This window comes from Homo sapiens, chromosome 11, assembly GCF_000001405.40.
Source record: "Homo sapiens chromosome 11, GRCh38.p14 Primary Assembly".
In the NCBI taxonomy this organism is placed as follows: domain Eukaryota; kingdom Metazoa; phylum Chordata; class Mammalia; order Primates; family Hominidae; genus Homo; species Homo sapiens.
In genome coordinates this window covers 96166367-96183771 of record NC_000011.10, presented here as the reverse complement: position 1 = coordinate 96183771, position 17405 = coordinate 96166367, and the positions used below count along the sequence as shown (strand labels likewise).

Genomic DNA, 17405 nt, shown 5'->3' with positions numbered 1-17405 from the left:
CTTCACAATTTTGCAGTAAACCTAAGACTGCTCTGAAACATAAAGTAATAATAAAAGAAATGGGCTGGGTGTGGTGGCTTATGCTTATAATCCTAGCACTTTGGGAGGCTGAGGCGGGAGGATCATTTGAGCTCAGGAGTTTGAGACCAGTCTGGGCAACACAGGGAGATCCCCCTGTTGCTACAAAGATTTGAAAAAAAAAAAAATCTAGCTGGGTGTGGTGGCATGTGCCTGTGGTCCCAGTTATCAGGAGGCTGAGGTGAGAGGGATTACTTGTGCCCAGGAGGTCAAGGCTGCAGTGAGCTGTGATTGTGCCACTGTACTCCAGCCCTGGCAACAGAGAGAGAACCCTTGTCTCAAAAGAAAGGGGGGGGGGGGAGGAACGGAGGAAGGGAAGGAGGAAGGAAGAGAGAAAGAGAGGAAGAAAAAAGAAATAAAAAATCTAAAATTCATGACTTTGGAAAATATAAGCAAATATGCTGAATATAGAACATGTATAGACATGATGTTCAAGGCCAGGTGCAGTGACTCGTGCCTGTAATCCCAGCGCGTTGGGAGGCCGAGGCGGGTGGATCACTTGAGGTGAGGAGTTCAAAACCAGCCTGGCCAACATGATGTAACCCTGTCTCTACTAAAAATACAAAAAATTAGCCAGGCGTCGTGGTACACGCCTGTAGTCCCAGCTACTTGGGAGGCTGAGGCAGGAGAATCACTTGAACCTGGGAGGCAGAGGTTGCAGTGAGCTGAGATCATGCCACTGCACTCCAGCCTGGTGACAGAGCAAGACTCTGTCTCAAAAAAAAAAAAAAAAAAAGAAAAGAAAGGATGTCCAAGAAGAAGAGCTTCCAAAAGTTTTCTATTGCTACATCATAATTAACGGGTATGATAGCGACAACAAAAAAAAACTCTGTTCCTCTAGTGGATGGTAAGGAGATCTCCATCCCATTCCTTCTCCAGCGAGAGCAAACATCTTGACAAGGAGCATGTTGAAATGAAAAGAACAATTTGCTTAGAGTGAGACCTGAGTTTGAATCTCAGGTATGCCCTCTTACTAGCTGTGTGGACTTGTGCAAGCTACTTAACTACTTTGATCTTAAACTTTCTCATCTATAAAACAGTAATAAGGACATACACATGATGGCATTATTATGGGGATTAAATAAAATATTGTTAATGAAAACACTAGCCAGTCTGTGCTTAGCTAATGTTTGTTGAATTTAACCTGCTTCTAGTAGCAATACCCTGCCTTTGTGCTTTAATTCTACATCTAGTAGCAATACCCTGCTTTTGTAGTTTAATTCTATGATGAGGGAAATCATGTCAATCAGATGAGAGGTCAATTTGTGGGGAAGGAAACCAGGGAAGACATGAAACCTGTTGGTACATAGGCAAGTGCCTAGCGATCTGCCTGATACACAGTAAGCCCTAAATAGATATTTGTTGAATGCGTAAGGCTCTGGACTAGGAGTACCTAAAATTTCATATAGTTGGTTGTTTTTATCCTCAGACCCATTGTTTCGATATTTGTAGAACATTACATTTTCCAAAGTGCTTTTATACCTATTTAACAAAGCAAACAAACCAAAACCTGGGAGGCAGGTAAGGCAGACCTTATATTCAATTTTATAGAAATTAAAACGGAGGCACGCAGAGAATCACACAAGAAACTTCAGCAAAGGAGTAGGACTAAAGCTCAGGTCTTTGAATTTACAATCCATTTTCCACCACGTCTTTTGAAAATTAGTTTGTCTTTTTTCCTCATACCTACTGCAAATGAAAAAGTAATTCTAACATTTAAGGGAGCCAAGATGAGACATAAAACTGAGTTTAGGAAATTTACAATAAAAGGGAAGATTTTCGCTGAATTAGATAGTGGTTGTGATATTATATAAAGAAAAAAATGGCTGAGGACAAATGTAGAAAAGAATTGATCAGTGATCGTGCATTTCACTAAAGCGTTCTATTGCTTTAGTGAAGCATACTCAGTATCTTCAGTATCAGTAGAAAAGATACTCAGTATCTTTTCAGTTTGGGATATGATGGTCACTGATGGCCATCAGCATTCATTGCCCAGTGTGTGAGGCCACTATGGATGAGTGTTGACTATTAATGACCATTCTTCTATATGATGTCAGCTCTCCTTGACACTTGGCCAAAAGCTGTAATTTTTTTGCATCTTAGGAGCTTATTCTCAACGTTGTAAAGACTTGAAGGGGGTGGGAGGGCAAGGAGAAAAGAAAGTAAAGGAAGATTTTCCTATTAATAGAAAGTTTTTTGGTTATTAATATAGTTGCACAAAGTATACTGCTGATGTTTGCATAGGTTCAAAAGAAAGGCAGAGATTTTAAGTTATTGTGAAGGAGAAAAAAATAGTCTCGATCTGGAGAGCCAACTCCCAATTATCCTCTCATGAAGCATTGCAGAGATAAGACAAGTAGTAGCTAAGCAGCTCCTGCCTTATAGGGTCACCAGTATTTAACCACTAGACTTGTACTTTTTCTGGAGGTGTGTCTGCCTTCTTCTTAGGTGAAATTTGTAACATAGTGGAGGTACTGTCAGGCCTCTGAGCCCAAACCAAGCCATCACATCCCCTGTGACTTGCACGTATACGCCCAGTGGCCTGAAGTAACTGAAGAATCACAAAAGAAGTGAATATGCCCTGCCCCACCTTAACTGATGATATTACACCACAAAAGAAGTGTAAATGGCCGGTCCTTGCCTTAACTGATGACATTACCTTGTGAAAGTCCTTTTCCTGGCTCATCCTGGCTCAGAAAGCACCCCCACTGAGCACCTTGCGACCCCCACTCCTGCCCACTGAGCACCTTGTGACCCCCACTCCTACCCGCCAGAGAACAAACCCCCTTTGACTGTAATTTTCCTTTACCTATACAAATCCTATAAAACGGCCCCACCCTTATCTCCCTTCGCTGACTCTTTTCGGACTCAGCCCGCCTGTACCCAGGTGAAATAAACAGCTTTATTGCTCACACAAAGCCTGTTTGGTGGTCTCTTCACACGGACACACATGAAGGTACCAGTTCCTATAACTGCATAACAAATTGCCCCAAAACCTACTGGTTTCAAGCAATGACAACATCTGTTTTGCCCTTGAGCCTATAATTTGAGCAGGAGTCAGTCCAGATTGGCTCCCTTTGGCTTCTGATGGAGCAGCTTACAGACCAAGGGACTGGAGTCATATGAAGGTTCTCTCACTCACATGTTTAGTGGTTGCTGCTGGCTGTTGGCTGAGATCTTAACTTGAGCAGTCAGCCAGAACACCTACATGTAGTCTCTCTCTGTGACCCAGGCTTCTTCACAACATAGTGGCTGGATTCCCAGCATAAGCATCCTGAAAAAGAGAGCCAAGTGGAAACTGTATCCTTTTTATAACCTAGCCTTGGAAGTCACAGAGCATTACTGCCACTCTATTTTGTTGGTCAGAGAAGTCACACATTCTGGCTCTGATTCGAGAGGAGGGAACGTAGACCCACCTCTCAGGGGGAGGAGTGTCAAAATCACATCGCCAGAAGAGCCTATGAAATGGAGGTATTGCTGTGGTCCTTTAGAAAAACACCATCCATCACAAACTTACAGCAGCCTTTTTTTTGGCTTCTTTGGTATCACTACTGCCCACACTAGGTCTTCAGCTATGACCTTCTTAGGCAATTCTGCATTCTTCAGTATTACTCCAGAAGGGGATCCAAAACCTTATTTCTCAAAGTCATGGTTTCTTAGTTTCGAATGGACCTTGAGAATAGATTTTGAAACCACTATGGTTATAGTACCTGCTTTTCCCTACTATCCTTTTCTGATTGATGGTCCTGTCTGGAGCCCTTGTGGCTAGAAAGCAATGTCAGCTCCTAGTTGGCCAAGGTGGCCACTGGCTGAACCATGGATTGGTACCTGAACCAAGGTGGCTCTTCTCTGAGAAACTGACAAGTTGGCAGTGAAAGGAGAATGGAGCATCAAGGGAAACACAGATGTCCTGAGAGTGGCATGAAAGAGTGAAAGAGAGTTGGAGGGGAAAGCAGCATCTTGGACCTTGGTGGCTTCCCAGGTCCCTCCTAGACCACATATACTAAAATGGCTTGAAGTAGGAGTGATGGTTGCTGGCTTTTTGTTTTTTATTTTTGTTTTGTGGCCAGAAGAGTCTGAAATATCATCTAACCTTCAGAGACCTGGAGCAGGATCCTGACTTTTGCAGAGTCCCAAGCTGATTAGGGAAGCAGCCTGGACTTAAGTCTCGGCCATCTGATCCCATTTTTCATCTTACATTCTTTCCTATATGTAGGTTTGAGAGGGAAGAAACAGAAATCTTGACATCATTAAGAGTTTGGGAGGAGGGGGTTAAAGAAATAAGGAAGGACTGGAAGGTAAAGAACAAAAAAGAGAAGGCTGTGGACCTCGAAGTCATATTTTTCTCTTTGATATTGTTACTTGATCCTGTGTATTTTCTCCATTCTCTGGCTTCTGTAACATCTATTCATATCCTTCCTTTTGGACATCTGAACTATTTCTCTCTTTTCAGATTGAAGGATAACAGTTGGCATATCTAGTTATAATGAGCCGGGGTGAACCAGACATTTTGTTTGAAAGGTGTTTGGAAGGTAAGGTCATTGTCACAACATGCAGCACTATGTTGCTGGGCAGAAATATAATGTGAGGCAGAATAATTCAGACTTGACAGACACTTGCACAGACGTAATCACCCAGAGACAAAAGCAGATGAACCCTTTCTCGGGATGCCGTCTAATCAAATTCAGGCACGTGTACAGCCTGCAGCACTGCAAGGGTGACCATTTCATCGGGCAATGATTATTAAAATTGGATTCCTTTTTCAGAAGAGGGTCAAAATTAGAATTCTGCAAAGCATTATCTTCTTCCCCCAATAGCCATGCCATTTTATAAGAGATTGTGTTGCCTAGAAATCCTCCTGATCCTTTTGTTCTTCCTCACATCTAATCCGTGTTCAAGTTAACAGCAAAACCGGCTACCAGACATACCCAGAGAAGCACAAGAGACAATTAACACCTACCTCTTGGAACACTGGTGACGATTAATAAGATATTGTGCTGCAGCTGCGTATGTTTTTATGTTTTCCACAATCAAGCTTGATTAAAGCTGGCTTTTGTGACATCCCCTGATTCCATGTGGTGTTGGTAGTTTTAGGCGATTGGTTGTACAGCTCCCTTTTCCCCCTCAGAGGCAATCACTCCTGCAGCCATTTCCTGACATATGCCAGGGAGGAACTGATGTTTCTCTGTGGCTGGTGACCTAGTGCACAGTAAGGTCATTCCTAAAAAGCTGGCTGAGGGAGAATTTAACTCTTCAGATCAAATATATTTGTTCCACCCCTGGCTCTGCCTCCTGATCAAAGTCAGGGGTGATTTCAGAGAGGTGGCCCTTCACTCAGTCAGATGCTGTGCGCCTGCTCTCTCTCCACGGGCATTAAAAACAAGGCACTCATGTGAAACCATGTCCTCATCATGGCAGCCGACCTCGGTTTATCACAGAGTCGAGGCCCACATCTTTGATCCTCCTCATAAAACTGTCTGAGAGAGTTGCACAAACCCACGGATGTCTTTTATTGTTTTTCTAATCACTTTTAATGTGTTTTCCCACAGTTTTTGTAGGTGTTGATGTCTCAGCCTGGCTGTGTCAGCAAAAAAAAAAGAAAAAAAAGAAAGAAAAATTCCCAGAAAGAAACGCTTATATGAATTGTGATATTTATTTTTTTTTTAAGTTAAAGAGTACAAAATTGTAGATCTCATCAGGATTTAAATTGTATCCCAGGTAGAGGATCTTATTTAAACACACACACACACACACACACACACACACACACACACACAACTAAGGTCTCCAGATATTCAATTTTTTCTACTTCCCTCAAAAATTCCCTCAAAAACGCCACTGTCTGTGAATTCCAACATGAAGAAATTAATTATTCCCAAACTATATTTCCACTCTCAAATGCTCACTTCTCTCCCACACCCCATGCCTTATCCTATCTTTCATGGAAATCCTTTTGACAAAATGTAGGCTTGGAGTTGCTAATAATTTCAGGACAAATGTTTAGGTCAGACACAAAGGTATTTGAAAATAATAGAAAGAGACTGAATGTGATTGCAGCTTTTCTATGAAAAAGAGTATATTTCTAGGTGTATTTTATGGCCTGGGGAAGACTCAGCCCCAAATAAAAACCCATCCCCCACCACATTGTCAGATTTTTAGTATTAAACATTGACATACCTTGTAACTTTGGCAGTGGCCTGTCACTTGGACGGTTGTCTGCAAGTACTCCTATGCTATTTTGGATAAAACCTACCTCATTACCACGTATGTTGTGAAAAGGAATGATTGTACATATCACATGCATGCCTGCTTCTTTCCCGGTGACATGCCTGTCCTCTTGTGATGCAGTTCAGTTCCCAGGGGACTGTAATGCCCCTGAAAATTGACAGTCACATTCTATTAGAACATATTTTTCCCATTTAATAACATGATACAGGTAATGATTCATAATCCTCAAAGGGCCTCCTGCCAGTGACAGCTGAACTCAAGTAATTGAGAACACCATGCAGTTTGGGGGTGACTTCACTTTTATGGTTCAATCAAGAGTTAAACCAGCAGTATATCTGGAGAGACTTTCAGTAAAATTACATTCTCCTGATACATTTTCATGTCTGTTTTACATATGTGACTCTGGCCTCTCCAGGCATGGTGACCTGAAAAAGGACCATGAATGGTATATTTATTCCTTATTAGACCCTAAGTCCTACAAAGGTAAAAATATGTTCTCCTTTTTATCTCCGTATTTTTAGTGCCTAGGATGGTGCTTGGCATATAGCGTGCTCAGTCATTCTTTTCCCTGCCTGGTGGTATGCCGATCAGGAAAATTCTTTGATTTTGATCTCACACCTATCGGTATCACTACATTGAAGCTCCTCCAAGCCCCTTTAAACCCTGGAAAGATTAAAGTGCCTGACATTCATCCAGCCCTCAACAACCAGAGCTACTTCCTTCCCACTACCTGGTGGCCTTAATTAGGAGCCCTTGATGCCATTTCCATAACTGCCAACACCTATCCTCCTCATCAGACATGGTTCAGTTACAACAAGACTAGGCTTCGAAAAGGTGGTCTCACCTTTTCCATTTTCTCATAGGCCCCTCACAGGACCAGAGCTGTGTTGAAGGGTTTCATAGAGTGGCAAGAAGACTCTGTGCCCCATCCAAAAGCGGTCCTTCCTACTGACCATCAGCAGCACCGCAGAATAGATCCAGGGTACCTTAGCTCTCTCCTACCTCAAGATGAGTCCCCTGCTTTACTCCCTAAAACACTTAATTATTTTCTCAGAATCATTTTAGGATTAAGTGTAATAATGTATATAAATCGCATAATATAGTATCTAGCATATTACAGTAAGCATTCAGTGATTGACAGCTTATTCAGTTTTCTGAGTTAAACATTGAAATCTATCTTTCCATAAAGATGGATTGTAACAAATATTAAGTTTTTATATGGAGACAACTTTGTGGGGTTAAATAAGTGTGGATTTCCCAGGAGATTTAACCTTGCTTTAAGTACTGGCTTTGACAATGACTTCTTCAAGGATTTTGGGCTAATGACCCAGCATCTCTGAACCGCATCTTCTTGAGTAAAATTTGGGTCCTCATACTTACCTCAAAAGGTAGATATAGGGATTAAAGGAGATAATTCCAGTGATTGCATATTCTAAACAATAAAGCACTATACACATTGAGGAGTCTTTTTTTCCCTATGCTCCTATTCTCCAATGTGTTATGTGAATTAGAGGCAACCTATATTTTGCATTCACAATAGGTAAGTTATAGAACTGAGGTTTAAGGCCAGGCGCTGTGGCTCATGCCTGTAATCCCAGCACTTTGGGAGGCAGAGGTGGGTGGATCATTTGAGGTCAGGAGTTTAAGACCAGCCTGACCAACATGGTGAAACCCCGTCTGTACTAAAAATACAATAAATAAATAAATAATAGCCAGGCATGGTGGCGGGTGCCTGTAGTTCCAGCTACTTGGGAGGCTGAGGCAGGAGAAAAGCTTGAACCCAGGAGGTGGAGGTTGCAGTGAGCCGAGATCACGCCACTGCACTCCATCCTGAGTGATGACAGGGTGACACTCCATCTAAAAAAAAACAAAACAAAACAAAAGAACTGAGATTTCAGAAAGTATTGCTACATGCATTAAGACACTGACTTTCCATGTCCTTGTTATGCTAAGGACAAATATTGCTAAAGTGGAGAAAGATGGTGGTAAACCCACGTCTTCTGATTTTTTAGACTGTATGACAAGGTCTGTGGTACCTCTATGGGTTTTTGCAGCCAGGGGCTACTACAGTGGTTTGCTTTGCACATCATACAAAAATTAATGCAACTAGACCCAGGGAGATTTTTGTTGGCTTGCATTTGAGATATGTTTTTAAAATTGCAGAACAAAGTTTAATTTGGTTTCCATTTCCCTTGATGAGGAATAGCATCTCTACTGCAAGAAAACCTGACACTCCTTTATTCTTGCAAGGATGGTAAAATTTTCTGGGTCACAAAATAAGCAGTAGAGGAAGAAATGAAGTTGCATGCAAGACTCCTAAAATAAATATTCCTTTGTGGTAATTATTAGAAGGCTTAGATTAAGAAGTCAGCCCCAGGAGTTTGGGCCATCCTTCCCTCTAGTTTTCCCCTTCCTGCTTTGCTTAACGTTGCTTGTGTAACATGCTAAGAAGGAGCTGCTTCGCACCATGTTTTCCAAAGTGCTCGGAAATGCTGAATGGCGATTATAAAACAATGCCTTAGGGTTTCTGCGCTCCAAGAATATTACTCTAGCCAAAGGCCAAGACAAGAAGATGTCCCTTAAAACAGATCCACTGTCAGAGGGAAATAGTGGCAAGAGATTTGAATGATCATAGGTGCCACAAGAGGCATTTATTGCAGGTTAACAATTGCACATGCTTCAGGCTTTGTGGGTATCCCACAAGTGTATGTCACAGTTGCTCTTCTCAAGGAGATTGTTTCACTTGGGCTTGTGGGTACTTAAGTAATAAAGTGAAATAAGTAGGCTGGGTGTGGGGTTCACACCTGTAATCCTAGCACTTTGGGAGGCCAAGGCGGGTGGATCACCTGAGGTCAGGAGTTCTAGACCAGCCTGACCAACATGGTGAAACCCCGTCTCTACTAAAAATACAAAAATTAGCTGGGCATGGCGGCGGGTGCCTGTAATCCAAGCTACTCAGGAGGCTGAGGCAGGAGAATTGCTTGAACCCAGGAGGCAGAGGTTGCAGTGACCCGAGACTGTGCCATTGCACTCGAGCCCGGGAGACAGAGCAATACTCCATCTCAAAATAAAATAAAATAAAGTGAAATAGGTAATGTCTAAATGTTGGCTGGAGAATTTCAGATGAGGGAAATCACCATAGATGGCAGTGTCCTGGGGGAGTGTTCACAGAGGATATGCGATTGGTAAGAACCTTCCAGGACAGAAAAGCAAGGCATCCCCTTAACAGGACTTCCTATTCATGCAGCCTTTAGATCTTATGTGACCTCATGACAACTGGCTGAGCCAGGAAGGGTTTTCCTTCTAGGGTATGAAGGAAAGGAGAGGCGAATTTGACCTGCCCCTCATGCCATGTGGAAGGACTGGGATGGGAGGACAGGCCATCTGCTCCCAAGATCAACTCCTCTGCCTTGACGATTCTGTTGCCGCCTTTTGTGAAGTCATTGCTGCTTAAATGTTTTCATCACCGTTTTACTCCACTCAGTGGTTAGCACATGGGGGATATGCCACAAGTGTTTCCTGCTGTCCCCTTGTCCTGAAGAGAAACAGGTGACAAAATGGCCATACTTCTGAAAAATAAAAGAGCAAAAACAATAGTACATATCTTTTGCCTCCTTCAGGAGAAGCAGTTCTAATCAGAATGTTATTGGAGTGAGGCAGGAGCTGGAGAAAGTGAGGAGTACATAATGATGTTGGGGGACAAGAGAGAAGAAACGAAGACAAAGAAGTCCCTGTCCTTACCTTCTCGACGCCCCTGTGGCCTCTGCCATCGCTGAGGGTCCACTTCCTTGCTTCCTGAAATTCTGTCTCCTGTGGCTTGCATGGCATTCAATGAGCTTGTGTACTTCCTCTTCCTCTTACGAGTTATTCTGCCCCTTTCATACTTCTTCCTGTACCCTCCTAGAGGTGGATGACCCATAAAGCTCAGTCTCAGCTCTTAGTGTCCTACCCGTTTCTTCCCCCAGAATTGCCATTTCTGTGTGGATGGTTCTGAAAATCTTAGTCTTTCCAGGATGGACCCGATTTCTGCCCTGAGCTCCAGGCCTTTATCTCCAGGACTTCCCAGGCCCCTCAAACTGAACCTGTTAAAGATGGAACTCTGTCCCACTGAAAATCAGCTCCTCCCTCTGGTTTCTTATTTACAAAACCATTTTGTTTAGAATGCTTTTTCTTCTTTCTTGCTTCCTGTCATGGTAGAAAGAGAAAAAATATACTCTACATTTGAGGCTCTTCCTTTGGTGGTGAAACATTTCCTCCAAGATATTTGTGGTTGATAGCTGTAGTCTTGTGTCCAAGTGCTCTGGGACACATCTCCCCGACAGCCCCTGGGTCCCAGAGCCCCTCTGTAAAAGGGAAAGAGGAGTAGTATGTTTGCATAGGCAAGAACCTGGCAAGAGATGGCTTGTAAATGCCAAAAACGATCATGATGGGGTGCAAGGAGGAGAACGATATTAGGAAGGAAGTAGAATCTTATCATCCATGGCAACTGGCAAAAAGGGTGCATGCCCATTTGAAAGGCACTTTGGCTCTGATTCAGTGTGTGGTGTTCTACATATCGAGAGGCTGGAAAACATATGAAAGAGAACTACTCATGTTTTTCCATCTGTACACATGTGTTCTGCTGGTGTTAAATTCTTGTTGGAAGAGTCTCTCATTCCATAATATACACACAGAAAAATATTCCCACCACTTAAAAAATTATTATTAAAACCAGCTGAGTAAATTCATAGAGCATTGTAGCAGGACAAGTGAAATGTAAACTCACATTCTCTGGGATTGTAAATGCCTTTAACACATATGCTACTTCATATGAAATTTATTCCACTACTCATATTGTGTTTTCATGTCATTGATTTCAAGGGCAACATTTCAGGACAAAAATGCATGGCTGCAGACACTGAATCTTACTCTAAATTCTGAAATGTAGCATTAGGCACAGAGCCCTCCTTCTCGCGTAAGAGGACGTGAACAGAAACCAATTTGAGAAAAGAAGCTGTTCTCTTGCTGCTATAACTTACCCAAATCTTGTAAAAGGAGCAGGCTTAGATTGCTTCAGAAATGAGCAAAGAAGCTACCTGAGAAGGAGACTCTCTGAACACCACCAGTCTGGCTCTGATGCACTTCATCAAGTGATGAATCCATATGCATTAAGATTTAGTATCCACTTTTGCTTTGCTGATGAGCCATAAGCTACCTTGTTGAGGGTTAATTAGAAATACTACTCAATTCTGACCACAGGGAGAATGGCCTGCAATGAGGTTTTAAGCATTCATGTATTCATTCAAAAAATATTTATTGAGCACCAACTATGTGATAAGCAGAGGTCTAAACTTTTTGGATACATAAGTGTACAAAAGAACCAAAAATTCCAGCCATATTTATCAGAATATACTGTGCTTTGTGTTTTAGTTGAATCAGGGCTTTGCCCAAGTGTCGCTCTCTACAAGGCACTGTGGGACAATATTGTTGGAATACCCAAGACATGGAAGGCATGGTCTCTGATATCAAAGTAGCAATTTCACCAAAGTTGTCAGATTTAGGGGTTAGCATCCCAGCCCTTGTGACACCAGCAGTGCTTCTTCTGAGGGACACTGCTGAGAATGGAGAAGGTGGCAGGCAAGGGCCTTCCACAGACGCCTCCCTCCCCTAAAGAATGCACAACCTCCTTTGCCCTTGCTTGCTTCCTGGGTTGCCTTTAACTGGACCCATATCCCTTGGCATCTGCCATTCATTATTTGGTTTCTACTATCACCCTGTCTCCAGCTCTGATTTGGCTCTTCATTACTGAACTTTGGCGTGTTGTTTATTCTCTCACTGGAGTTTAACTTTGGGTGGTACCTGTTTTCTGTTTCATTAGTCCCATGACTGCATTGACAACCAGAAGGAACACTGTCCTTTATCTGACATGTATTTACACATATTTTCACTAATATATTAAAAATGTATTTATTGAACACGAATCACATGCAAGCATTTTACTGGGGCCCTGGGAATAGAGATGCCCTCATTGGATTGCAGAGTGGAGTGGGAAGGTCGGAAAAATGAACCAATAATTAAATATAATATCTTGAACACAGAAGAGGAGCACCTACCCATACTGGATGGAGTCTTGAAACACGAGGGGAATAAGACAGAGAAGAACGCGCCCGGTCTTGGGGAGGTATAACACATATGCAATAAGGTGATGACATATCACCGTTAGATAATAATCGCAGACAATGAAGAGTGTGTATTCTTCTCAGCTCACATACAATCTGATAGCCCAGTTCACTCTTCCCTCCAATGGTTTTTACTCCATCCTCTTTCTGGTCCCACCATCAATTACCTTGGAGACAGTAGGAAATGAAAAAGAAAAGAGGTGGAGGTAAGAGAGAGGAAAGACAAGTGGGAACCCAGGGCTCAACTAGTCTGCACCTCCTCAACCAGTAGTTTAAAAAAAAAAAAAGTAGAGGCCAGGCACGTTGGCTCACGCCTGTAATCCCAGCACTTTGGGAGGCCGAGGCGGGCGGATCATTTGAGGTCAGGAGATCGAGACCATCCTGGCTAACATGGTGAAACCCAATCTCTGCTAAAAATACAAAAAATTAGACAGGTGTGGTGGCGGTCACCTGTAGTCCCAGCTACTCGGGAGGCTGAGGCAGGAGAATGGCGTGAACCCGGGAGGCGGAGCTTGCAGTGAGCCAAGATCACGCCACTGCACTCCAGCCTGGGCGACAGAGCAAGACTCCATCTCAAAACAAAAAAGTAGAATCTACACACAGAAGCCACCCTTCTCCCTCATCCTTTCTCTCCACAGCTTCCAGCCCCATGCATTAGCCAAGGCATTCTTCTGTCCTTTGCTGCCTGATAATCCACGCATCAAACATCTACCCCTTCTTTGTGAAGGAATAGAATCTACACTCTTCTTGCTTAGCTTCCTGTCAAAATGTAGTGTTCAAGGAATAATCGAGGTTCTTTGAGCTACCTTCAATTTTCTAAAAAGCTTATCAGAAAGCAAACTGTATCTGTGATAAGACTGAATAAACTCACTGAGAGGCCAATTTTCTGTGCTTTTCGCTGGTATGATAAAAATAATTACACTGGTACTCTGGTGAAGATGAGAAGCATGGATTAGCCATTATCTGTGTCTGATTAATTTTTAAATTCCATTAATTACTTATTAATGCAATTTGGAAGAAAAATCTTTCATCCCATGATATGGGCAGAGGAGGGAGAAATAATAAAAGGCTGGGATTCCCTTGTTTGTGAAAAGGTTGGAAAATACCACCCAAGTGGACATTGGAATGTAGAATGTGAGCACGATGCTGGGCAGGTGCACTGTAGCACATGATGTGCCCTGAACCAGTGGAAAGGGACCGTGTGATGCTGTGCATTCTCTGAACCTGTATCCTCTTGAAACCAACAAACAGAAGGCATTTTTGTTGTGGAGCCCTCTGTACAATGTACAGCAAAATAACTCAGAACCAGAGATGTTGCTCCATGTTAGGTAATACTAGAAGAATAAAGTTTTACTGGTCGGGCACGGTGGCCCACGCCTGCAATCCCAATACTTTGGGAGGCCGAGACGGGCAGATCACGAGGTCAAAAGATTGAGACCAACCTGGGCAACACGGGGAAACCCCGTCTCTACTAAAAATACAAAAATTATCTGGGCATGGTGGCACGCACCTGTAGTCCCAGCTACTCAGGAGGCTGAGGCAGGAGAATCGCTTGAACCTGGGAGGTAGAGGTTGCAGTGAGCTGAGATCACGCCACTGCATTCCAGCCTAGTGACAGAGCTAGACTCCATCTCAAAAAAAAAAAAAAGTTTACTTTCTTTTCTGTTTGTCTTTTCTTACCCCATTCTGCTGGCATAACAGAAATAGAGGTTAAGAATGGGAATTGGCTTTACAGAAAACCAGCCATGAACTCACTATTGCTAGTGCCTTTCAATTTGCGTCCCAGGACGTGACCAGGTTACTTCCTACAGATGACCTCAGCAGGACTTTTTTAGAAGGAGGAGCTCGAGCACCCACCTCCTGGGTTGCCCATCCCCAGGGCCTGGGAGCAGGAAAATGCAGCATTTGGAGAAAGTGCTAGATGGAACAGGTTTGCTGCAGGCAGAGCAGGAGGAAAGAGAATGGGTCTTTGTTTCAGGTGTGCTTTTTCATTCCTGTTACAGCTGAGTGCTGGATAAGGATGCACAGTGGAGCTGGCACTCTCTCTTCACTTTAAAAAATCCAGTTGTGTTGCTATTGATTGACATTTGGAAACTGAAGCTGAGGTTAATACAGAGTAAACTATTCTCTCTTATGAAGGGTTATTAACTCGTTCAGGCCTTCTGTCAGTGGTATGTAATTCCCTGCATGGGAGTCAGAACAACAAAGTTGGAAGGTTAAGAGAAACTTAACCCACCCATCGTAGAAAGAAGAGGCCAGAAAAGCAAAGTGGCCTGCTAAAAGTCACATCAGCAATTTATGGCAGATTAATAATAATAAATTAAGCCTACATGAAACTTATGGTGTAGTTCAAATCTGAATAGCACCACTAGGCACCCTAAATACCATTGCTGCGTTGCCAATTCTTGTGAAATAACCCAAGTGGATTACACAGAAACGTTTCTCAAATCCCCACACCAGCCAGCACAACTTTATGACTCATGTGTTTGTAGCTGATCTCAGCATAGTGAATTTTATGTACTTCATTTCCTCCCTGATGTTCTTCCATGGAAGGACCCTGAGGTTCACAGGGCACTATGCCATCTTGAACAGCAGGATTTCTCCAGTCCCTGTGCAGGGGACAGTGTGTCATTCTGGGACCCTCAATGAGGAAAGGCATCTAAGAGATCTCTCAAGGACTAGTATTTTTCAAAATGTGATCCAACAACCCTCCATCCACAGGGGGCTCATTAGAAATGCAGGTTCTGAGATCTATTCCAAAATTACCAAATCAGAAATGGAGCAGAAATATGAAAATTTAATGGGTTTCCTAGGAGATTTTAAAGCACACTAAAGCCTGAGAGCCACTGCCCTGGGCTGCCTGGACTTCATCTCTCCTCACCATTTTCATTCCTGGGAATGAGATGATATGGTCTTTGACTAGAGTTAGATAGGTAGATAGATAGATCTTACATTTAAATAATATCTATCTACTAATTCAGTCAGCTTTTATTGAAGGCTTTCTATTACTAGGCACCATAATGGAATTAATAAAGGTAGAACACCTACCATATTCTATACTGATTGCTTTCATAAATTAACTCCTTTGATCCTTACAACTTTATAGTTACTACTGTTATATTCATTCAACGGAGGAGCAAACCAAAGCACAGAGAGATTAAGAAAAATTTTCAAGATTAGAGAGCCTGTAAATGGCACAGAGTTTGAACCCAGGTAGTCAGCTCCAGAACCCATGAGCTTAACTACTATATGATATACTCTTCTCAAAGCTGGAGAGGAATAAGACTTGGTTATTGCAGCAACCCTCCCAGCCCCAACCGCAGGAGCTCACAGTCTCAGCAGGAATCCAGACTTCAGACATATACATAGGTCATTACATATGCTTGTTAATTGCTATGATAATGTATGAACAGAATGCTATGAGAATTAGGAGGAAATTATTAACTGCCAACGGTGTCAAGAAAGGCTTCCAGAAAAATATATGGCTCAGTGAGAACAGGATTTCTGTCTCTTTAGCTTCTTCTAGCACAGTATTTTACAAATATTAGGTGCTCAAAATAAATATGTTGAATGAGTGAATTAATGAATGAGATGATTCATTGCAGCTGGTATTGAAGAATCGGGAGGAGATTTTGTGACAAGTAAGAGGGAGAAGCATGCACACAGCCTGGAGGAGTAAATGGCTACAAATAATTTGTTTTGGCAAAAGACATTAAATGTGACAGGAGCAAAGGTGCCTGGGAGAGGGGTGATGGGACTGATGTGAGGAGCAGGGACAAAGAGGAGGCTGAGAGTGAAAGATCTTCTGCTCTGTGCGAAAGAATTTAGATTAGTTCTCTGGGCAGCCTCCTCAGGCAGGGGAGTGACATTATCAGATTTCTCTGATGGGAAGACACCTCTGGGGGCCAGTGTGGAAGGCATAAAGTGGATTAGTGTGAAGGAAGTCTGGCAGGAGGAAGGCCAGCTAGGAAGATTGAAGGAGTAAGAGCAAGAGATTTGGAAGGTCTGAGCTACCGCACAGGCCAACAGGAATAGAAAAGGAGGACCCATTAGAGACACTTGTTTGAGGCAGGAGAGGCAGGATTCAAGTGAGCAGCGAGTGTCCAGATTAGACTTTATTTTCTAACACAAATGGCAATGGCATTAACTGAAATAAGGACTCCAAGAAAGGGAAGTATGAGGTGGAGAGAGTTAAAGAGCTCAGTTTTAAACAGGTTAGGTTGCAGTCACCTGTCAGTCCTTCCAGGGAAGAGAAATTCCCAGCAGGCATTTATTAAGATGAATGAACAGCAAGTTTTCAAATGGGGACATGGTGTTTGGTATCATCAGCATCAGGGAGGGAGGTGAAGCCATGGGAGCAGAGAACATCCCTCAGGAAAAGTGCATAAAGGGAGAAGAGAGAGGACTAAGAATGTATTCATGAAAAGTAGCCTTTAGCGGGTGAGCAGTCAGTAGGGCAGAACAAGATGCTGTTATTTCAAATCAGGGTGGTCTAATAGAGGAGTCACCTTGTTTTTATTCAGAAGAATTTTAGGAAAATGAAACTCCTCTAAAAAGTTCTAGATAGGCTGAAACCTAAAACAGACAGTACCTTTGTATTGGATGCTTTGGGCACCAGCCCTCCTTCACCTGTGACAGACACATAACATCCCCTTCCCCATCTGGGTGAATGCCAGCGAACCTCAGAATGCAGAATTCTTCACCAATGCTTTAGCTATTGACATTCGACCTTAAGCCTTCGGTGGCAGCAAGTTAGGAAACTTCAAACATCAGCAATTACAGCTGTCTGGTTGGGTCCTCTTTCTTCTAACTTCCACTGTGCAAGGGGAACGTCTATCAGTCTGCACACCCTCAGAGCAGAAACAATAAGAAAACAAGAAAATAAGGAAACAATAAGAAAACTATTTAACTTAACGAAAATAACCACTTTCTTTTAAAATT

The 17405-nt window shown here is 42.7% G+C and overlaps 1 protein-coding gene across 3 annotated transcripts in view, besides 2 other annotated features; it reads left to right on the top strand.

Moving 5' to 3' along the window:
* The window catches only part of MAML2 (mastermind like transcriptional coactivator 2), a 366598-nt gene that overhangs the window by 159424 nt on the left and 189769 nt on the right, over nucleotides 1-17405 (top strand). The gene's annotated exons all lie outside the window — the stretch shown is intronic.
* Nucleotides 1964-2856: an enhancer, noted in NCBI's record as "OCT4-NANOG-H3K27ac hESC enhancer chr11:95914080-95914972 (GRCh37/hg19 assembly coordinates)". NCBI's record gives its function as "activates a minimal SCP1, AML or CMV promoter by ChIP-STARR-seq in naive and primed H9 embryonic stem cells {active_cell/tissue: H9 hESC(naive and primed)}" and the evidence as "EXISTENCE:reporter gene assay evidence [ECO:0000049][PMID:30033119]".
* Nucleotides 2857-3750: an enhancer, noted in NCBI's record as "OCT4-NANOG-H3K27ac hESC enhancer chr11:95913186-95914079 (GRCh37/hg19 assembly coordinates)". NCBI's record gives its function as "activates a minimal SCP1, AML or CMV promoter by ChIP-STARR-seq in primed H9 embryonic stem cells {active_cell/tissue: H9 hESC(primed)}" and the evidence as "EXISTENCE:reporter gene assay evidence [ECO:0000049][PMID:30033119]".